This window comes from Homo sapiens, chromosome 7, assembly GCF_000001405.40.
Source record: "Homo sapiens chromosome 7, GRCh38.p14 Primary Assembly".
Classification (NCBI taxonomy): Eukaryota; Metazoa; Chordata; class Mammalia; order Primates; family Hominidae; genus Homo; species Homo sapiens.
In genome coordinates, this window is record NC_000007.14 from 41,751,486 (window position 1) to 41,774,652 (window position 23,167).

Sequence of the window (23,167 nt, forward strand, 5' to 3'; positions counted from 1 at the left end):
AACAAAGTAGTGAGCTAGTGAGGTTAGAAGAAAGATGCAGTTAGCTATGTCATATTTCACCTGAGATCATAATTTTTTTTTTTGCAAAGGTGGTTTCCAGAATTTTCCCCTACCTACATGAAGACCCAAGGTGCCCACCAAGGAAAATAATTATTTTTCTTTCTCCTCACTGTTATCTCATCTGGTGAAGAATCTAACCACACCTGAACAATCCCTTTCACAAGATAATGTCTGGCTGTCAGGCTCATTCAATTTCCAAAGCAAAGTATTTACAAGTTGATATTCATTCTCTGATCCATTTATTTTTTCCTAGTAATCATTTATCGCCCCTCAATAGAATTACCTACATTTCCCAACCCCCTAAATTAGCTATGTAAGTACCTGGGCCTCTGTGGAATATTGGGTAATCATTCTGTGATATTCCCCTCTGCAGACTAATAAATTCATATGCCTTTCCCCTTATTAATCTGCCTTTTATCAGATGATTTTTCAGCAAACTTTCAGCAGGCAAAAGGGAAGCTCAAACACATCATCTGTTTTGTTCTCTGACCCCTGAGTACCTTTCCACCCTCGTCTCCTCTTATGCCCCCAAACAGAGTCTCTATTACAGCCAACTATGACTTTCTCAGAATGCCAGGGTTCTCCAGGTCTCCTTACCTTCCCACTTGCTGCTTTTTCTTCCTTGTATGCCCCACCCCCAGCTGTGTGCCCTGACTGGAGAACTCCTAGTCATTTCTCAAAACTTTGTTCAAACATTTTGTGGGAATATGATGGCATTCTTTACTCTTCTGTGTGCTCTTTCATCTCCAGTCTCTCAACAGAAGGCATTTATGGTGTTGTCAGATGATTTTTCTCTAATTCTATTAGTAATCTTGTTACAGGAAAGGGGTCCTGATCCAGACCCCAAGAGAGGGTTCTTGGATCTTGCGCAAGAAAGAATTCAGGGCGAGTCTGCAGTGCAAATAAAAGCAAGGTTATTAAGAAAGTAAAGTGGTGAAAGGACAGCTACTCCATAGACAGAGCAGGATGTTCCCTAAAGCAAGAGGAGGAAGGCATCCACCCTAAATACAATGCTTGTATATATGAGGAGATGTGCTCTGCTACAAGCGTTTGTGATAAAGGATTACTTGTCTTAATTATTATATTTTGCAATAATTTATATTATTATCTTTAAAGCAAAATTAGGAATGCCTTTGTTGTCCAGATATCAGAATATCTGGACACTCTCAAGTCTGGTCTGTTTAGTAAACATTATTAGTTTTTTCCCTTAACCATAAACATCTAGAGGCCAGGAATGCCTAACTTTCTGAGAATGCAGCCCAGCAAGTCTCAACCTCATTTCTCCAGCCTTCACTCAAAATGGAGTCGCTGTGGTTCAAAAATCTCTGACAATCTCACTGTCTTACATTTGCTTATGTATTTGCTGCAGCCACTAGACCAGGAGCTCCTAGTAGCCAGAGCTAGTAAATTCCCCATTTTCTATTCGAAGTATTGACACCAGTACCTGACACATAGCCAGCACTTGATAAATATTTTCCAATAAATAACCAAATGGTAAGAGTTAGCAAAGCAAAGCATCCAGCCATCTAATATCCCAGAAACATTTTTTTCTTTTTCTAAAGAGAAAACCTGTAGTTTAGAAGATAGTGAGAAGTTATAGTTGCTTATTGCTGAAATGATCAGGAGTTTATAAAGATGCTCATAGACTTTATGCCTTTTACAATGTAAGGCAGTGACATTGATTACCAGGTAATAACCTCAAAAAGAGAGATTCTCAAGAGCTCTTTTGAGGGCTTATAGAGCTGCCAAAGTTAAGAAAATGTTAACTACAGAGAATATGAAGAAGGTCTCTAGGGGGCCAAAGACAGAGAAGTTATTTGTAGTAAAATATGAAGGGCTCCTTTCATTGGAGGGGCACTGGTGAGAAAATGAAACACTGGCAATGAGAATAAGAGCAATAAAGAAGCAGGAGGGGAAAAAAGGCACCAGGAAAAGAAAACAAGTTTAGTTGTGATGCTAGAAGAGATATAAATAATCATGTGAATGGGCAATTATCATCCTAAAATTTGCTTCTTTAAAAATATTTTTAAAACAATGAGACAGACAGTAATGAGATTTTTAAATGGAATCAGGAATTTCCAGTCACATATTTAATTCTTTGATCAGGATAAAGGAAATTAGCTAAGATGTGAACATCGCATTTGTCTAAACACTTTATTCTCATGGGGAAAGCCAGGCTGAATTGAGAAGAAAGGACACACAAGACTTGTTAAAGGAAAGGGGTCCCAATCCAAACCCCAAGAGAGGGTTCTTGGATCTTGTGCAAAAAAGAATTCAGGGTGAGTCCACAGTGCAAAGTGAAAGCAAGTTTATTAAGAAAGTAAAGGAATGAATGAATGGCTACTCCATAGACAGAGCAGCCCCAAGGGCTGATGGTTGCCCATTTTTATGGTTATTTCTTGACGATATGCTAAACAAGGGATGGATTATTCAGGCCTCCCCTTTTTAGATAATATAGTGTAAATTCCTGACATTGCCATGGTATTTGTAAACTGTCATGGTGCTGGTGGGAGTGTAGCAGTCTGGATGACCAGTGGTCACTCTCATCACTATTTTGGTTTTGGTGGGTTTTGGCCAGCTTCTTTACTGCAAGCTGTTTTATCAGCAAGGTCTTTATAACCTGTATTTTGTGCTGATCTCCTATCTCTTCCTGTGACTTAGAATGCCATAACTGTCCAGGAATGCAGTCTTGTAGGTTTCAGCCTCATTTTAGCCAGCTCCTGTTTAAGATAGATTTGCTCTGGTTCACATGCCTCTCACATTTACTCCCTCCCTTTTGTAAGAGAACCCTTAATCCTAAGGGTTGCAGAGAGACAAAGATCTATCTTCTGTAACTTCTTCAGGCTGAACAGAGGCAATGATATTCCTGCCTAACTATGAGTGTCTCTTGCATTCAGGGAAGGGATGAGTTCAGTGAGAAAGCATCAGTATGGTAAGGTCCATTCACAACTCCTGAGTTTCAACAAAAGGTGATATCTGGAAGATTAATAAGTGTTTAATTTAAGAAAACATTCAGTAAGCTTGTCCTGTCTTCCTACAAAAAGAACTGATTGGTTCACAGGAATAAGCAGCATTAGCCTAAATTGCAGAAACAAACTTAAAAACAACAAATGAGACTAAAATTTAATAACAAGTGTACCATAGTTCTTGAAACGCATTATTTTTCTTTCCAGTTTCCCATTTTTACTAAAGACAAATCATGGTAAGATTGATTTGCTTTATTATATTTGGCCTGGTTATTTGTATTAAGTGTATCAACAATAATTATTTTCACATAGGATCTTTTTAAATGGGCTTTGATGGAACTCTGTTTTATAGAAGGAATCTTACATAAGACTTTTTAAAACCAAGCTCTGCCATGGGTTTGTACCCTCAAACACCCATGAGTTGAGTAAATCCCTTCCCCTTGTGGACTCAAGATAAGTTGGGGCTCTTGGATCTGTCAGAAAGTCACATTCTTTACTTACCACAGCTCAGAAACCCTGTGCAGGGACTGTTGCAGACAAGGTCTGAGGCCAGTTCTCCAAGGGGCTTTTGTTGGCTTTAAAAGTCAAGTTTGATTCCTTAAAGGAAAACACACCATTTTAGTTAAAGCATTGGTAAAATAACCAATTTCTCCAATTGTGTCCTGTGACAAAAGAAAACAGATTCTTATTGCATTTATGCAAGTAACTATATTGCCATAAATTAAGAATACTCAAAAATAGTTTCCAAATTTTGGAGTAATCAGGTAGAGAGGAACAAATATGCTCCAAATTTTGTTCACAGGAGTGTACTTTACTCAATTGCTTAAAGCTGTAAATAGCTCAAAAAAAAGTTTCCTTGACGCTGAAAAACAAAACAAAGGATCAGCAGTGTTTTAAGCAAAGTTAAAAAGATTACTTCAGTTTTTGATTGGTTCAGTTAATTCAGTTAACTCCTGTTTGGTATTCATGAACATTCTATTTGGTATTCATGAACATTCCAGCTCTTCATGAGAGTTCTGAAAGTTGTTTCCTCTATTCTAATGTTACAATTTCCAAAGTTAATAGAAACTTGCATTTAAGAACACCTGCTAGAGTTCTATAGTTGATTATAAACCACCTTCTAAAGAGAATTAAAAGAAGGCAACAATTGTCTGTGGATGATAAAAAGTTTTAGGACAGCCACTATTAAAGCCACAATTGATAAGGAAATTTGATTACTTCTGTGGTGCACAAAATTTTACACAGCAATTATAATTATTAATAACATACACTAAGTCATTAGAATTATAGGAGTTCCCTAAAACTTTAAAACATATACCAATAACATACTTATGCAAATATAGCCCAAAGAAAGCAAAACACCATTTTATATTTGATAATGCTTCCTGTATGACCCTTATACCAAATAAGCATAATTTCACCTATACATTAATGTACTATTAATGTTAAACACAATTTTCAATAAAACCTTATGGACATATTTACCCAATTTTAATGTTCAACCATAAGGTATGATTCTTATAAACCTTTTATAGCCATTTACATTTTTGTGTGTGTGAAAGAGCAGATCACTGCTCTAAGAAAAATCTACTGTGCTTTTTTTTTTTTGAGATGAAGTCTCACTCTGTAACCCCAGGCTGGAGTGCAGTGGTGCGATCTCAGATCACTGTAACCTCCACCTCCCGGGTTCAAGCGAGTCTCCTGTCTCAGCCTCCCAAGTAGCTGGGACTACAGGTGCACACCGCCATGCCCAGCTAATTTTTGTATTTTTTAGTAGAGATGTGGTTTCACCATCTTGGTCAGGCTGGTCTTGAACTCCTGACCTTAGGTGATCCACCCACCTCAGCCTCCCAAAGAGCTGGGATTACAGGCATGAGCCACCGCTCCTGGCCCTATTGTGCTTTTATTCTAATGTCTAATTCACAGAAAAAATGAATAATACCCTTTTAACTTTAGCCAATATGTTCACATACAGAATCTCTTACAATTAATTTTTATAAACCTTCCACAACTTGTTTAAACCTTTAGATATTTTTTCTTACTTAAAACAATCCTTTAACACTTTAGGCAGAAAAAAATCCACATTTCCATGACTTCTTATAATCTTTCACCAAAAACACATTTTACTTTCTTTACACACCTTCCATGTAAAATTGTTTCTTTAGTAGTTTCACTTACATATTATAATGTTAACCCTTAGCAACTTTTATTTTTGGTGAAAACCTTGGTAAATTCGAGATTTTAATTGTGTACTAGGTGTGGAGCCTAGCCTAGGACACACCAGGCAAAAGTGCAGATAAGAGCTGAGTCCCCAGCATAGTTAAGGGGTGTGGCTAGCTCCACATGTCCCCAGTCCTTATGTAGCTGTAAAGCAGTCAAGTTGTTCAGTAAGAGTCATAGTGGCATTTCATGAAGCATTTAGGAGGCCTAACAATCTTTGAATTGTATAACGTTTCTTGCATAAATTCCCTTTCACAAATCTTTTCATGACTTACACAGACCATCTGAGACATTCTTGGACTTTCTGACTTGCCCTAAGCATCTCTCCATTTAAACAACCAGTCATTTTACTTTAGGACGAGAATTCACCATACAAGATCCTTTCTTATATAAAATCTCTTTCTTTGTAATCTTCTTGTATAGCTGGGGGCATGGCTAATTCCACATATCCCCAGAACTTATCTAGAATCTAATGGCTTTAAGGTAGGTAAATTTTTTTAAAAGCTAAAGAGGCAGTTTATGACCTTAAAGCATTTAGCAAACTTAATATCTGACCTACATAATTTAGTCTAAATGTTTTTATCAATACTTTTTGAAGCTGTTTTTATTTCCCAAAGATTACTAAAGTTACATAAACTAAAAGGTATTACATTTTTTATTTTACTTTCAAGATATTTAAGTGTTTATTTTTGTTTAAGCCAATTAATTACAGCCCTTTTACATAAACATTACCCACAATACATATATAGCTACACAGAAAGACAGAAGAAGATTACTGCAGTAATTGCAAGATTTTTTATTTGTCAGTTTTTAAGTTTCTTAATTGGATTACTGGCTTTAGGGTGGAGCCCTTGGAAAAGCAGAGCCAGGAAAGGAGTCTCTGGTGCCTCCTGTTTTTCCCAAGGAGCTCAGGCTCTAAGAGCTTCAATATCTGCTTTTAATTAAACTGATTTTTAACCATAGCACTCTTTAATAAAAGTTCTTTTAGAATTTCTTATGCCAAACAGCCAATATTTCTGGTTTTTGAACTTTATCAAAGGTAACCTCCCAGGTGCTTAGAGAAGGAAAATTTAAGACAGTCCAAGGAGGAGAAGAGAGTAGACAAGGTCATGTATATATTCAACCAGAAATAACTTAATTCCTGGGTGAGGAATCGAACCCAGACCACCACTGTGAAAGTGCAAAACTTTAGCAACCAAACTACAGCACAGGGCAGTCTCCATTTTCTTTCCAGGAGGTAGTCTAGAATAGTTACTTTTGAGCTTGCAAAGGCTTTTAACTATTTAATGTGATTTTTACAGTTAACTATGACTTGAACCCTAAAATTCCTGTTCCTTGGAAGGCAGAGACCTAGAGAAAGTACTGCCACATGGTTAAAAGGTCAAGCTCCCAAGGACATAAAAGAAGGTGGAGACTTCATCCAGTTTTTTTGTTTGTTTCAGGGATCTGCAACCAAGTTTGTTACTGACCAGCCTGCTAGGTCATCTTGAAAAGCGGGCTTACAGGTACTCTAAGCTCATGTTTTATCCTAAAGTACCCCTTGACACAGAAAAAGGAATTCATAGCACAAAACACACCAGCTTAAGACTAGCCTTAGAATTCTTTTTCGCATTAATCCAAACTTTTACAGAGGAGATAAACACTGATTTTTTTTTTCCATTCATTCAACCATTTGCACAGAGAGAGAGAAACCAGAAACCTGACTGGTAAGAAATTTTACCCTTTTGCTGGCATGCCAGGCTTCTGGGTTCCCTTTCCCTGGGTGGCCCTAGTGATCGGGCTTGCGAAACCATCACCCTGGGGCCAAGCCACATCATAAAGGAAAATTATTTTTTTTTCATTATGGTCAGAGCAAAATATGTATGTTGAAACATAGATATTATCCACTCTGCTTAGCACCCATTATTAAACTGTCAAGGCTTAAATTTGCCCCCAGATGGGCCCTGTCATTTTTAATCCAACCTTTGACTTGGAGTTTCAACACATGGCCTCTGGGCAAGAGGAAAATACAGGAAAGGAAAAGTAGAGAAGGAAGGTACTTCCTGTGGCAGGGTAGGGAAGGTGAAGAGCTTAGGGAGGCCAGAGAAAAGACCTACTCATTGAAGCTGACAATGAAAAGTTCAGGCAGCTGCTTGTCAGTAGCAAAGGGATCTTTTCCTGCACTCCCATCAGCTCTCAAGTTTCCCCTTTTAGGGAGGAAAAAACTCCCAATATCCCACGATCCTGTATATGCCTAACCCTGTCACCCACAGCCATCAGCAAAGAGTGCAAGGAAGATTAATCCAAAGACAATAGCAGTTAACCCCCCATAGTGCCAAACCTGTTCTTAGCCAAGGGGGACTTTACCCGAGAGGAGCCTCTAACCTCCTAAATCTTTGAAGGGACTCTAACCCTCCCAAGTACGGCCTCTAACCCAAGGTTGGTCAAGCGTCCTTGCCTTTTATTAAGAAGGGGCCTCTAACCCACTCTGTCTTAGGAGAGAACTCTAACTCCCCCAGTTTGGGCCTCTAACCCAATCCCATCCTTTACATGGGTACCCCACCACTTGCCCAAAGTCATCCAATCAGTGCTGCAGTCTATTTCCTTTGGGACAGGAGGTCTCCTCAGTATTGTCCCTTTTGTGGTTCACGAGAAAGATGTTACTGGACCCCACCACTTACCCAAAGTTAGCCTTTGGGTCTGGGTTTTCCACAGTATAGTCCCTTCTGTGGTCACCAGAAAGATGTTACAGGAAAAGGGTCCTGATCCAGACCCCAAGAGAGGGTTCTTGGATCTTGTGCAAGAAAGAATTCAGGGCAAGTCCACAGTGCAAAGTGAAAGCAAGTTTATTAAGAAAGTAAAGGAATGAAAGAATGGCTACTCCATAGACAGAGTAGCCTCGAGGGCTGATAGTTGCCCATTTTTATGGTTATTTCTTCATGATATGCTAAACAATGAGTGAATTATTTATGCCTCCCCTTGTTAAACCATATAGAGTAAATTACTGACATTGCCATGGCATTTGTACTCTGTCATGGCACTGGTGGGAGTGTAGCAGTGAGGATGACTAGAGATCACTCTCATCACCATTTTGGTTTTAGTGGGTTTTGGCTGGCTCCTTTACTAAAACCTGTTTTATCAGCAAGGTCTTTATGACCTGTATTTTGTGCTGACCTCCTATCTCGTCCTGTGGCTTAACAATGCCTTAACCATCTGGGAATGCAGCCTCGTAGGTTTCAGCCTCATTTTATCCAGCTGCTGTTTAAGATGGAGTTGCTCTGGTTCACACGCCTCTAACAGACTGATCTTGACAAGTCACAGATCTCTAGATGAAATTTCCTAAAATGCAGCCAGTAGACTTCCTAGTTTTTAAATATATCAGTAAGAGAGAATTGTACTGGGCATCCAACTAGCTACACTTTCAATATACACAAACGGCCCTTTCCCAGAACACTGACCTTCTTCCAGAAGATCTGCTTAGGAACATACTCCTGGGCCCTCTGAATGTGGGTTCAGGGAGCCAGAACCCACATTCTCCTTTGGCAAATGGTTTGTTTGTTTGTTTGTTTGTTTTTGGAGTCCGTTTTGCAGGAAATGGAGTTGTCCTCCCCTGAAGAACAATTGTGACCTGTTCAAACCCTGATCTGCTGCAGCACTGTGTTTGAAAAACTGTTAACACCAGAAGCCAGGATCTCTTCTTTTCCTTACCCTCACTGTATACTGAGCAATTACTGAGTAAGACCAACAGTGGCATCTCAAAGGTAGCAGGAAATTGCATCAGACTGGGCAGGACCAATTATATTCAAGAATGATACTGAGCCATAGCGACAGAAGAAAGGACAACAGAAAATAGGCTAGTAGATTTTCCAGATTCTCCACTTAGCTCTCCAGGAGGTGCTTAGAAGCAACACTGGATCCTTTGAAATAAGACTTCTGTAGACTAAGTTTTAATGTATTTGAAGAGGGAGTAGGAGAAAGCTCTGAGATATTTAGTGAGCTTCCTGAGATGGCCATATGTTTATAGCTCCAAACTGTTTAATTAGAGGATATCACAAAGGAATAGTTTTCAAAGCACTAGAATCATAACTCTCATATAAATATAAAATGAACATGTGTCAAAGACTTTCAGTTAACCTATAAATTAATAATGGAACCAATAAGATGTTAAAACTGCTTCAAGTGAGAATGTGATTTACAAAGGCTTATATTCTCTACTGGACAAATTCATTTGAATAGCTATGAACAGGAATCATTTGAATTGCTGTAGACAGGAATTCTTTCCATTATGATCAACCTTCTAGATGTTAACTTCGCCTGTACAATATTTGCTAATAGTTAAGTGAAAGTTGAACATTATTATAAAATGAGATAATTCCCAGAGGAGGGTTCGCTAGGCAATGCTTGGCATTTCACTGAAAGGCACCCAGGAATCCTTTCCTTTGTTTCCATTTCCACATCTTTAACATTGTAAAAAAATGTTCTAAAATCAGACATGATAACTATTTTTCTCTCCTCAACTGTCCAGCTGCTCCTAAGATATAAGATGCTCGTCATTGTTAAGGGAATTTTTAGGCAAGAGAGCTAAAACACTAAAATATACAAAGAAATAAATATAGAAAAACATTGTGAAAGACTTTAAAATGAACCCAGAAACTGCTGGAGTTCTGTCTAATGGACCCATCCAGATTATCTTTACCTTTTTTTTTTTTTTTTGGTCTTTGGGCTATTTTAAAATTATTTATGGTGGAAAATAAGTAATAATGCAAATTATCTTTGTTCCTAGAAATGCATATTCATTATGCCCAGTATAATGCAGTTGATTACTACTCTGTGGATAGACCTATTTTCCATATATTTGTAAATTCATTTTAGCATTTTGTATTTGCCTATGTGTGTATTGTGTTAATGTGTTTACATGTATGTACAACATATGTAACTGGTGGTAACTTTGAACTGGTAGGAGAAGGCAAAAATATTGTTTTTTATCTTCATGGAATATTTATATGTTGACAGAAAAAAAGCAAACTCTGTAAAATAGCTAAAGAGTTTTATTCTGATTCAATATGAGGGACCATGGCCCTGGAAACAGTCTCAAGAGGTCCTAAGAAAGTGTGCCCAAGGTGGTCGGATTACACTTTGCTTTTATACATTGTAGGGAGACAGGAATTGTAGGTAAAATCATAAATCAATACATGGAAGGTGTACATTGGTTCAACCTAAAAAGACAGGATATCCTAAAGTGGGGGCTTACAGGTTGATATGGTTTGGCTCTGTGTTCCCACCCATATCTCATGTTGAATTGTAATCCCCACGTATCGAAGAAGGGGCCTGGTGGGAAGTGATTGAATCATGGGGGCGGACTTCCCGCTTGCTTTTCTAGTGATGGAGTTCTCATGAGATCTGGTTGTTTAAAGTGTGTAGCACTTTACTCTCTCTCTCTCTCCTGTTCCATCATGGTAAGATATGCTTGCTTCCCCTTCACCTTCCATCATGATTGTAAGTTTCCTGAGGCCTCCCAGCAATGCTTCCTGTACAGCTTGCAGAACTGTGAGTCAATTAAACCTCTTTTCTTACTAAATTATCCAATCTCAGGTAGTTCTTTGTAGCAATGTGGGAACAGACTAATACACAGGTCATAGGTGGATTCAAACATTTTATGGTTGGCGATTGATTGAAAGAGTTAAGCTTTGTCTAAAGGCTGAAGCCAGTAAAAGGGAGTGTTTGAGTTAAGATAAGGGGGTTGTGAAAGCCAAAGTTTTAGTTATGTAGATGAAGCCTCCAGGTAGTAACTTTAGAGAGAATAAATAATGGCAAATGTTTCCGTTTGAATCTTAAAAGGTGTTAGACTCTCTTAAATCCAGGAAAGCCCTGGCTGCATTAATGGAGATTCTCTGCAGATACAAATTTCCTTCATGAAAGTTGGCTTTGCAGGGCCATTTCAAAACATGTCAAAGAAATATATTTGAGATAAAATATTAGTATTTCCTTCAGAATCTGCTATCTGTCATGTCAGTCAGGTTGGAATTTGATACCTTATTGCCACAGAGTCCATTCTGTCAGTCTTATGATCTCCATTTTAATGTCAATGCTGGTCAGTTGTGCCTAAACTCCAAAAGGGAGGGGGTATAACAAGATGTGTTCATTCTCCCTTCCCTTCCCATCACAGCCTGAAATGCAGTTTTTCAGGTTTGTTTGCAGTCCCTTTAGCCAAGAGGGAGTGCATTCAGTTGGTTGGGGGACTTAGGTTTTTATTTTTGGTTTACATTCATAAATGTGTTTTTCTAAATTTTATCTCTGTCAAGATTAAATGTATAATTAAAAAAGTGCATCCCAATTTTAAAAATCTTTCAAGAGATTAAGGAATACACACATGCCAGACCATTTCCTGTTTTCTCAACTTGATGCTTAGGAAAGTGTTGTATAGGCATCAGGAAACCAAGAAGAGTGGGAAGCCTAATTGGCACATCCAATTCTGGAAACTTGGGATCCAAAGTCGTGTATCGCGATAATTCTGTATGTGGCTCTGATAGGCCTTCTTGGAGAATTAATGAAAATAAATTAAGGTGGGGTTCTTGGACACTCAAATGTAGACTCCTAAATAAAGTTGACAAAGTCTTCCCCTAACTTGAGAGCAGAGTGCCCAAGTAGACAGGGAAGACACCTCAGGGTAGAATAATCTCTAGGTTCGTTTTGTGGATGCTGTATTTGGATCCTGGTTAGAGGTGAGCATAAAGGAAACACTTTAGTTAGTTTCTTTAAAATGTCCTGTGGTTCTTCTGGAGAGAATTTGACACAATGTGCTCCAGAGCAGGGCTATTGCAAGAGAAGGTGCTACAATTTCCTTTGAATAGCCTGCATGCATACACCACGAAAATTTAAAAGGTCAACACTGGTAGCAGAGAGAATTCTTTCATTGATGATCTGTAGACTTGGAACCAACGAGAGTCACTAGGTGAATGCTGAACGAAGTCATGGCATGCAAGATAACATGGCTTAGTTCAGGCAGGGAAGTAAGACAGCCGTAAAGGACCATTTCTGTGGGCTACCAAGGACTCTGCCAGGGAAATGATGTAGACTTGAGGGGAGTCTCAGTGACTCTGCAAAGTGGGGCCTGAAAATACCAGATCAATGAGTTTATTCCTGGTCTTTGAATTCCTCACATCTTTTGGTCAGAGCCTGGGGGAGCAGAGTAATATTTGTACTATCCCCGTGACTGTTAGTGGATCCTTAACTTTTCACCATTGCTGAGGCTGGTGTGACCAGAGGAAGCAAGAGTTGGCCAAAAGATATGGCCAAAAGATTCTAGCAGAGCTTTAGGAGAGCATTATAGACATGGATCAGAGGGAAACTTTCAGGTCAATGGAAAATTAAAACAAAGAAGAATAGTCACTTTTTTTTAAATTTATTTTTTGAGACGGAGTTTTGCTCTGTCACCCAGGCTGGAGTGCAGTGGTGTGATCATGGCTCACTGCAACCTTCATTGTCTGGGCTCAAGCAATCGTTCTACCTCAGCCTTCTGAGTAGCTGGGACCACAAGAGTGTGACACCATGCTCAGCTAATTTTTGTGAGTGTTTTGTTTTGTTTTGTTTTGTAGAGATCGGTTCTTGCTAGGTTGCCTAGGCTGGTCTTGAACTCCTGGGCTCAAGCAACCAGCTCAATTCAGCCTCCCAAAGTGCTGGGATTATAGGCTTGAGCTACCTGCTTGGCCAATAGTCATTTTTCTTTTTATTTGTTTTCTTTCTATTTTTATTTCTTCTTACTTTAAAAGAAAGTAAATTGTGTGTGAGTTTGTAGACTAAAATGTTTATCTCCCCTCAAATTCATGTTGAAAGCCTAATCCCTAATGTAACTGATTATATTTGCAGGCAGGGCATTTTGGAGGTAATAGGTTTAGATGAGATCTTGAGGATGGAGTCCCCATGTTGAGATTAGTGTTCTTATTAGAAGAGGAAGAAATCAGAGCCATCTCTCTCCCCATACACATATACCAAGGAAAGACCAATGAGCACATAGCAAGAAGACAGCTACAAGACAGGAAGAGGGTCTTCACCAGACACCAAATCTGCTGGCACCTTGATCTGGGACCTCCCAGCCTCCAGAACTGTGAGAAATATTTGTTGTGTAAGCCATCAATACATATACATATATAGAATACAGCCACCACCGAATCCTATCCAATCCCATTCTCTCTCCGGAAGAAAATTCTATTATCAGTTGTCTGTATACACATGAGATTGTTTGGATTTGTGTCTTCACCCAAATCTCATGTCAAACTGTAATCCCCAATGTTGGAAGAGGAGTTTCGTAGGAAGTGATTGGATCATGGGGGCAGAGGTCCCTTCTGCTGCTCTTATAATAGTGAGCAAGTTCTCATGAAATCTGGTTGTTCAAAAGTGCATAGCACCTCCCTCTTCTCTCTCTTCCTCCTGCTCTGGCCATATGAGGTGCCTGCTTTCACTTTCTGCCATGATTGTAAGTTTCCTGAGGCCCCCAGCCATGCTTCTTGGAGAGCCTGCAGAACCATGATCCAATTAAACCCACTTTCTTTATAAATTACCCAGTCTCAGGTAGTTCTTTATAGCAGTGCAAGAATGTACTAATATATCCTGTCTTGGACTTTTTCTTTCTTTTTTTTTTTTAGATGGAGTTTTTGCTCTTTTTCCCCAGGCTGGAGTGCAATGGCGCAATCTCAGCTCACTGCAACCTCCGCCTCCCGGGTTCAAGCGATTCTCCTGCCTTGGCCTCCTGAGTAGCTGGGATTACAGGCATGCACCACCACACCCGGCTAATTTTTTGTATTTTTAGTAGAAACAGGGTTTCACCATGTTGGTCAGGTTAGTCTCGAACTCCCAACCAGGTGATCTGCCCATCTCGGCCTCCCAAAGTGTTTTTTTTTTTTGTTTTTTTGTTTTTTTGGTTTTTTTTTGAGATGGAGTCTCACTCTGTCACCCAGGCTGGAGTGTACTGGTACGATCTCGGCTCACTGCAACCTCAGCCCCCTGGATTCAAGCGATTCTCCTGCCTCAGCCTCCTGAGTAGCTGGGATTACAGGCACCTGCCACAGCGTCTGGCTAATTTTTTTGTATTTTTAGTACAGATGAGGTTTCACCATCTTGGCCAGGCTGGTCTTGAACTCCTGACCTCATGATCCACCCGCCTCAGCCTCCCAAAGTGCTTGGATTACAGGTGTGAACCACCGCACTAAGCCCTATCTTGGACTCTTTCTATGTATTTTCACTTACTTACATTATTCCCCTTGGAGGTATACTACTTAACCTCTGTGCCTCACTTTCTTCATCTCTAATGTGGATAATAATAGTTCACTTTCTAAGAAGCAATTGTGGGTTTCCAATGAGATAGCATATATAAAGTCATTGTTACAGTGATGGGCACATTGGGAGTTTTCAAACATTCTTAAGTCTGAATCTTGCTATATAGTTTGGTTTTATTTTCTGTTTTTTACACAAGTGGAATCATGCTCTTCGTGTCTTTGTGAAACTTGCTTTTTCATTTAGCAATATATCTAATATATCTTTTATGTCCAAATATGTAGCTCTACCTCCATCTTTATCATTATTGAGTAATTTTTGTTTGTTTGTTTGTTTATTTTGAGAGGGAGTCTCGCTCTGTCACCCAGGCTGGAGTGCAGTGGCGCGATCTCGGCTCACTGCAACCTCTGCCTCCTGGGTTCAAGCAATTGTCTTAGCCTCCTGAGTAACTGGGACTACACGTGCACGCCACCATGCCCAGCTAATTTTTATATTTTTAGTAAAGATGGTGTTTCATGATATTGGTCAGGCTGGTCTCAAACTCTTGACCTCAGGTGATCCACCCACCTCAGTCTCCCAGTGTGTTGTGATTACAGGTGTGAGCCACCGCGCCCAGCCATTATTGTGTAATATTTTATGGGATGACTATACCACAGAAAAATTACCATTTCATTTTGTTAAGTTTGCTGTCAATTCATCAGAGTAACAGATAATACTTCAATAAACCCTGTTGTATAAACATATGGATTATTCTCCAGGATACATACCTAAAAGAGGAATTCCTGCACAGAAGGCTATGGTCATCACTAATTTTGATAGACTTTATGGTTCTTAAAAAAAATAACTTGTACAGGGACAAATGATATCTTTCCTAACCATATGAATTTGGGTTTTTCCACTTTTATTTCAGTGAGGTCTAGGGACACAGCTTGTCATACTTAATGTGAGGCATAAGAATCCGATTGATATCAGTGTGTATGGCCCATTTGTTACTAACACTTTCATACACATTGTATCTACAACAAGAATGTGGAATCACAGTCCTGTCTTAGAAAGAGGGCACAGTTCACTATAGAATATAAAATTAGAGCTCATGTGGATTACAGATAGGAGTCCTAAAAATCCCCAGGTGTAAAGAACATAGTCATAGCAACCAGAATTGTTAATATAAGAAAACAAAATAAAATTTTCTGGGGGCAGTTAGGCTGCCTTCTTACTCTCTTCTTTCAGCCCGCTGGGCACCCCTTTAGCAGCTGGTAACATTCTTGACAGAATTAGAGGACAGAAAGGAAGTCAACCAATCTGCTTCATCCATGCCTTCAACAAGCCTGCACCAAGCCATCAGAATGTGATGTCCCTCTGACACCAACCATCTGTTCTCAAACTCTCCAGCCACTGTTGAGAATTCACTCTTATATTTAGTGATTCTCAGTGTAAAGCAGCCATTGCTTTTCTAGGAGAAATTAAATAATGATGACCCAAGAAACAAAGACTATAGTACATTATTCCCTCAGCAAAAGCTCTTCAGATGTTTCAAGGCATTTATTTTATTGACAATCATACTTTTCTTTCTTCAAATCTTATCTTCCCATGAAGATAAGGGAACTCTTTAACTCTTCTTTACACTATTTATACAATTTCTTTTCAAGTTTTCTATAGGCCATTTGGTGTGAAACTAAGAATTTTAAAAGCATCCAATCAGGCAATAGTTTTATAAAATGTGAGTGTTTTTTCTTTTTGTTTTTGTTTTTTGGTTTGTTTTGAAATACACTGGTGAATTCCAATAAGTTTTCAACATTAGAAGTGTGATACCATATTTACTGATTAAGAAGAACTTATTTTTGTTTGTTTTCTTTTTGTTTTAGCAATTCTCTGCAGAAAAGCAGATAACTTATTTCTCATTTCTAAATGCTATTTTGCCTTCACAGTCCTATATTAACACCCTGAAGTCATACTCTTCAAATAAGGGTGACACATTGTAAAGGAGGAAAATAGAGAGAGGAATGAAGAAAAACATGGAATGATAAGGAGATTAAAATGTTTGTTTCTAAATGTCTCCATAGTTTTAACTAGTTTATAATTAATAAATCACTTGGAGTAGCCTGATGTATTTGATTATACAAACCACATTTTATAAGTTTAGCTTGGACTCCAGGAAGTTTCAGTGCTCAAAGATAGATGTTCTTTTTTTTTTTTTTTTTTTTCCTGGCTTGATCCTTTTTAAAATGGCCCAGGTGAGGGTTTCCTTGCACATACTTTAAGCAGTTTAGAGGTTAATTGTGGCCATGCATTACAGTTTAAAACTCTCTGTCTCCTGGGGTTTGAGTGCCAAGGAAGAGTGGTCAGGGGGAGATTTCAATGAAGAATATTCCTCTTCCCACCCAACTTCAACTTCACATCAGAAATGTAGACAGACAGATGAAGAATCCAGATGAGACCAATGTGCTAGCTTTGTTATTAATAAAAACAAGTCTGGGTGACATGGTTTAGATATAGGACAAATGGTCTTGCTGAGACTTCTCCCCGAATGAGGCTGACTTAGCCAGTCACAGGGCGTGCTGAGCAGGAGCAGGTCCATGGTGGAGAGTGCCCTGAGAAACACCTTCCTCAGGAAGGGACTGAACCAAGCCTGGGAAGCCAGCAGTATAACGCTGAGGAAGTTCTTTCACATGATAACAGGAGGGGTGAAACATATGTGATAGTTTCACCGTAACATTTGACTATTTTTTTGTTGTGATAAAACACACCTAACTTGAAATTTACCATTTTAATCACAAGGTGCACTTTTAATGCAAACCTTTTAAAGTGCACAATTCGGTGGCATTAAGTACCTTCACAGTGTTGTACAGCCATTACCACTATCACCAGAACATTTTCATCAACTCTCCAAAAAACTTGTGCATTAAGTAGTCACTCCCCTGCCCCCCAGCCTTTGGCAACCACCAGTCTGCATCAAGTCTCTATGGATTTATCTAGTCTAGATGTTTCGTATAAATGAAATCACACAATATTTGGCCTTTCGTATCTGGCTTCTTTCATTTTGCATAGTGTCTGCAAGCTTCATTCATGTTGTAGCATGGATCGGAACTTCACTTTTTATGGCTGAATAATATTCCATTGTAGGAATATATCACATTTTGTCTCTGTTAATCTGTTGATGAACATTTGAATTGTTTCCACCTTTTGGCTTTTGTAAATAATATGCTGTGAACATTTGTGTACAAGTTTTGACTTGAACTTCTGCTTTCAGTTCTTTTGTGCATATACCCAGGAGAGAAATTGCGTGTGTCTTGTGGTAATTTTATGTTTAACTTTTTGAGGAATCACTAAGCTTTTCCACAGCAGCTGTGCCATTTTACATTTCTACCAGCAACGTATGAGAGTTCCAGTCTCTCTACATCCTCCCCAATACTTCTTTTCCTTTTTGTACTCATACAGCCATCCTACTGTGTGTGAAATGGTAGCTCATTGTGGTTTCGATTTGCATTTCCCTAATGACTGACAATTTTGAATGCCTTTTCATGTGCTTTTTGGCCGTTTGGATAACTTCTTTGGTAAAATGTCTTTTCAAGTTTTTTGACCACTTTTTAATTGGCTGGTTTGACTTTTTGATATTGACTTGTAAATGCTCTTTACGTATTCTGAATAATAGACCCTATCATATATAAAATTCACAAATATTTTCCTCCATTCAATGGATTGTCTTTTCCCTCTCTTGATAGTATCCTTCAATGCATAAAATTTTTAATTTAGATGAAATCCAACTTATCTATCCTTCTTTTGTTCCTTATGCTTTTGATGTCATATCTAAGAAAACATTGCCAAAGCTAAGATGATAAAGATTTATCCCATGTTTTCTTCTAAGAGTTTCATAGTTTTAGCTCTGAAATCTCGCTGATTTCCCAAAAATAAAACAAAACCAAAACTTTTTCTAAACATCAACTTTACTGAAGTGTAATTTACATATGATAAAATGCACTCATACCATTTGACCCAGCAATCCCATTACTGGGTATATACCCAAAGGATTATAAATCATTCTACTATAAAGACATATGCACACGTATGTTTATTGCAACACTATTTACAATAGCAAAGACTTGAAACCAACCCAAATGTCCATCAATGATAGACTGGATAAAAAAAAATGTAGCACATATACACCATGGAATACTATGAAGCCATAAAAAAGAATGATCATGTCCTTTGCAGGGACATGGATGAAGCTGGAAGCCATCATTCTCAGCAAACTAACACAGGAGCGGAAAACCAAACACTGCATGTTCTCACTCATAAGTGGGAGGTAAACAGTGAGAGCACATGGACACAGGGAGGGGAACATCACACACCGGGGCCTGTCAGAGGATGGGGGGAAAGGGGAGGGAGAACATTAGGACAAATACCTGATGCATGTGGGGCTTAAAACCTGGTGATGGATTGATAGGTGCAGCAAACCACCATGGCACATGTATACCTATGTGACAAACCTGCACATTCTGCACATGTATCCCAGAACTTAAAGTAAAATTTTAAAAATGCACTCAATTTTAAGTATACAATTTAATGAGTTTAGACAAGTGTCTACCCCAATTAACCACAATAAAAACATGAACATTTCCATTACTCCAGAAAGCTTCCTTGACCCCCTTGCAGTCAGTCTTCCCGACCCTCCCATCTATGCAATCACTGATATGATTTTTATCACTACAGATGAGCTTTATCTGGTCTAGAATCTCATACAAATAAAGTCATACAAATGATGAACTCCTTTGTGTCAGATTTTTTTCTCAGCATAATGTATTTTGATTGATTTATGTTGTTGCTTCTATTAGTAATTTGCTCCATTTTATTACTTAGTAGTATTTGATTGGATAGATATACTACAACTTATTTATCCTTTTACCTTTCGGGATGAATAGTTTTTTTTTTTTTTTTAATTATGTTTGTGTATCCCCTTCATTATAAAACCAAAACAGGTTTTGGATAGAAAAATTAAAACATGTAGGCCACAAAGAGGCAAAAAATTATAAAACTTATATTTTACTATGGAAATGTTAACACTTTGATGTATAGCTTCAGAACTCTTTCTGGGGCTGTGTATAGGTATGTTTCTATTTATAAGATATTTGAAACTTTTTCCAATTTTTTTTCCTGAAATTTACCTAAAGCTCCAATGTTGAAATTAAAAAAAAAAAAAAAAAAAAAAAAAAAGCACTAAGATCCCCTAATGAGACAAATAGTCAATCCCTGAGACTAGACTCCTTATCCCAAGACTTAGTGAGAGGTGACAGAATCCTCACCCCCATGGCCAGGCACCATCCCAATGCTCCTTCCTTCAGAGCCTGTGTAAGCAGAGGAAGGGAGAAGTATTGAGATTGTTGGCTTTGTAAGTTATTTAGATTTACAGTAAGAATAATTTTGTGTGTGTCTTTTTGGCTGGTGAGGTGGTCATGCACTTTCCTCTTCAAAGTCAAGTGAGGCAGCTCCCAAGAGAATTACTGAAGCAGCTTGGGAGTATTTGCAACAAGGAATGACTGGCCTGTGCTCCAATTGGATGTCTATTCAGGTGGAGGACTGGCTTGCCTGACTCTGCCTAATTGGAAAAGGAAATGAACATAAAAGAGAGAGCAGGGTACCAAGAGGGGATGTCAGTGGGGCCACTTGCATCTGCACAGTGGCACTGGCATGTCCTGAAGGCCTGTGCCTCCTGTGTGCTCACAGGGAAACCGCCAAAGGGACCTGAGTAGAGCTCATCTTGCCCCACTTAGAAGGGGATCCAGGAGGAAAGCCCATGTGATTGAGCATGGTGGGAATTGACAGGGAGTGGAAGGGTGGATCTACCACATCAGAGAAGTGTGCAGTTGGCAGGCGTAGTGAGCCTCTGCTAGGGGCTCTGGAAGGGTCTGCATTTGGATACCCACCCCGTAGAGGGCAGTGCTGTCAGCGTATTTTAGCCAGAGCAGCAAAGACTCCAGTAAGAAGACGACTGTGACCATGGCCAAATCATCAAGGAAAAAGAAGCTCTCTCTTGTCTCCTCCCCTTAAGAAGCAAAGCACGCCCTCCCTTCACCTTCGAAATGTCTCAAGCTGACACCCAGGGGGCAGGTGATGACATTGGAGTTGGATTGAGATTGGAAATTTAAACTGGAGAATACTTGATAATTGAAAGGGACTAGATATATATGGGATCTGATGCTGTTAAAGAAAAAAGGAATGGGACTCAAAAGGCTTTGTGGAAAGCAATATGTAGAAGGAAAAAAATATGATATTAAAAATAACTATTGCACAAGCATAACAACACACTAGTACTATTATTATACTTGTATTCTCTGGTAAACTGTTTTATATAAAACTTAGCAATGTATAGTGAACACTGACCATGCCCATGTGTATTCATCTAAGACATCATATTTAATAGTGGAATCGTATTCCATTACATGCAGGTACCACAATTTAGAGGTGGACATTTACAGTGTTTTCATTCTTTTAGGACAAATATCGTTATCATTAATATTTGCACACACTCTTAAATAATTCCTCAGGTGACAATCTAGAAATAGAATTGCAAAATCAAAGACGTATGTCTATCTATTAACAAAATGCCCAACAACAATATTATACTAGCTTATGTGACCACCAGCACTAAGAAAGACTTCGTTTTTTTTTTTGTTTGCTTGTTTTTAACCAGTCAGTTAGATTTCTTTCATGAACTGCCCCTCACCCCAATCCCATTGTATTGTTCGTATGAAGCAGGCTGGCTACGAAGAACATACGGCTCTGCACTTCACTAGCCACATATATCTGTAGTTCATGTTTAGTTAACAGGGATACTTGCATATCCATTGTTGCCCTACGCCTTTCAGAAGCTTGGCCACATAAACAGGAATTCATGGAGGGCTAATCTCTCCCTTACAGGTACTTCGAATTTCATTGTTGCATCGAGCCAGCTGATTTGGGAGTTGAGTTCCTGGATAGGCATACTATCCACAGTGTTTTACCAGAGTGAAATCACAGGTGATATCATTCTATATTAAGAGAAATATAAGTGTCCACTCTGTGAAATCTGTCACATGTATAGAAAAAGGATACTGTCTTTTTTTTTTTTTGAGACGGAATCTCACTCTGTCACCCAGGCTGGAGTGCAGTGGCACGATCTTGGCTCACTGCAACCTCCTTCTCCTGGGTTCAAGCAATTGTCCTGCCTCAGCCTTCCGGGTAGCTGGGATTAGAGGTGCACACCACTACACCCAGCTAATTTTTGTGTATTTTTTTAGTAGTGACAGGGTTTCACCATGTTGGCCAGGCTGGGCTCGAAATCCTGACCTCAGGTGATCCGCCTGCCTTGGCCTCCCAAAGTGCTGGGATTACAGGCCAGCATGAGCCACTGCACGCGGCCTACTGTCATTTTTTTATTCTGTCTCCTTTCTATGAGGAGCCCTGGGGAAATTGTCTTTAGTCTCACTATAAGAAATAGTTGTTCTTTTCCTGAACTAATTTTATTTAATTCTATGGCTACTATGACACTTTAAAGACATTTTTAGGAAAATCAAGTTTTGGCCCACATCCAGCAAGAGGAAAAGATTTCATGGTGTACATTCATGTCACTTTTTCATTCTGGCTGAGGGCTACTTTGCTCAGCCTTTCATATATTCCCTTCCTTCCTTCCTTCATTCCTTCCTTCCCTCCTTCCTTCCTTTCTTCCTTACTTTTGACAAGGTCTTGCTCTGTGGCCCAGGCTAAAGTGCAGTGGCGCCATAAGGGCTCACTGCAGCTCTGAGCTCCTGGACTCAAGTGATCCTCCCACCTCAGCCTCCTGAGTAGCTGGGACTACAGGCACGTGCGACCACACCCAGCTAATTTTTGTACTTTTTGAACAAGATCTTGTCTTTTACAGGGACATGAATGGAGCTGGAAGAAGTTACCCTTAGCAAACTAACACAGGAAGAGAAAACCAACTACCGCTTGTTCTCACTTATAAGTGGGAACTGAATGATAAGAACACATGGCTGATAAAGGGGAACAACACATACTGGGGCCTATTGGAGAGTTGGGGGTGGGAGGTGGGAGAGGATGAGAAAAATAATTAATGGGTACTAGACTTAATACCTCGGTGATGAAATAATCTGTACAACAAACCTCCATGACACACATTTACCTATGTAACAAACATGCACATGTACCCCTGGGCTTAAGAGTTTAAAAGAAATTTTTTTTTTTTTTTTTTTTTTTTACTTTTTGTAGAGATGAGGTCTCCCTATATTGCCCAGGCTGGTCTCAAACTCCTAAGCTCAAGTAATCCTCCCACCTCAGACTCCCAACATGCTGGGAATACAGGCACAAGCCACTGTGCCCAGCCTCATATATTTCCTTTTTTATCTGAAATACAAACACATCTTTCTTGTCCTCCTTGAGTCCTCTTTTAAGTAAGTTTGGAATAAATAAATAATATTTATTTTAGGTTGGTACAAAAGTACATTACTTTTAATGGCAAAAATCACAATAACTTTCGCACCAATCTAATAATATAGAGTGACCAAAAGATAAATCCCTTAAAAATAAGAAAACTGTTGGGAGGCCGAGGTGGGCGGATCACGAGGTCAGGAGATCAAGACCATTCTGGCTAACACAGTGAAACCCCATCTCTACTAAAAAATACAAAAAAGTTAGCCGGG

General features: G+C 39.1%; 1 long non-coding RNA gene across 1 annotated transcript in view; it reads left to right on the forward strand.

The window, feature by feature from the left end:
- INHBA-AS1 (INHBA antisense RNA 1) overlaps window positions 1–23,167 on the forward strand; it is an 85,460-nt gene that overhangs the window by 57,567 nt on the left and 4,726 nt on the right. Inside the window, exon 3 of the long non-coding RNA NR_027118.2 lies at window positions 21,411–21,509. This is a non-coding gene — a long non-coding RNA (INHBA antisense RNA 1). The remainder of the gene's footprint in view (window positions 1–21,410; window positions 21,510–23,167) is intronic.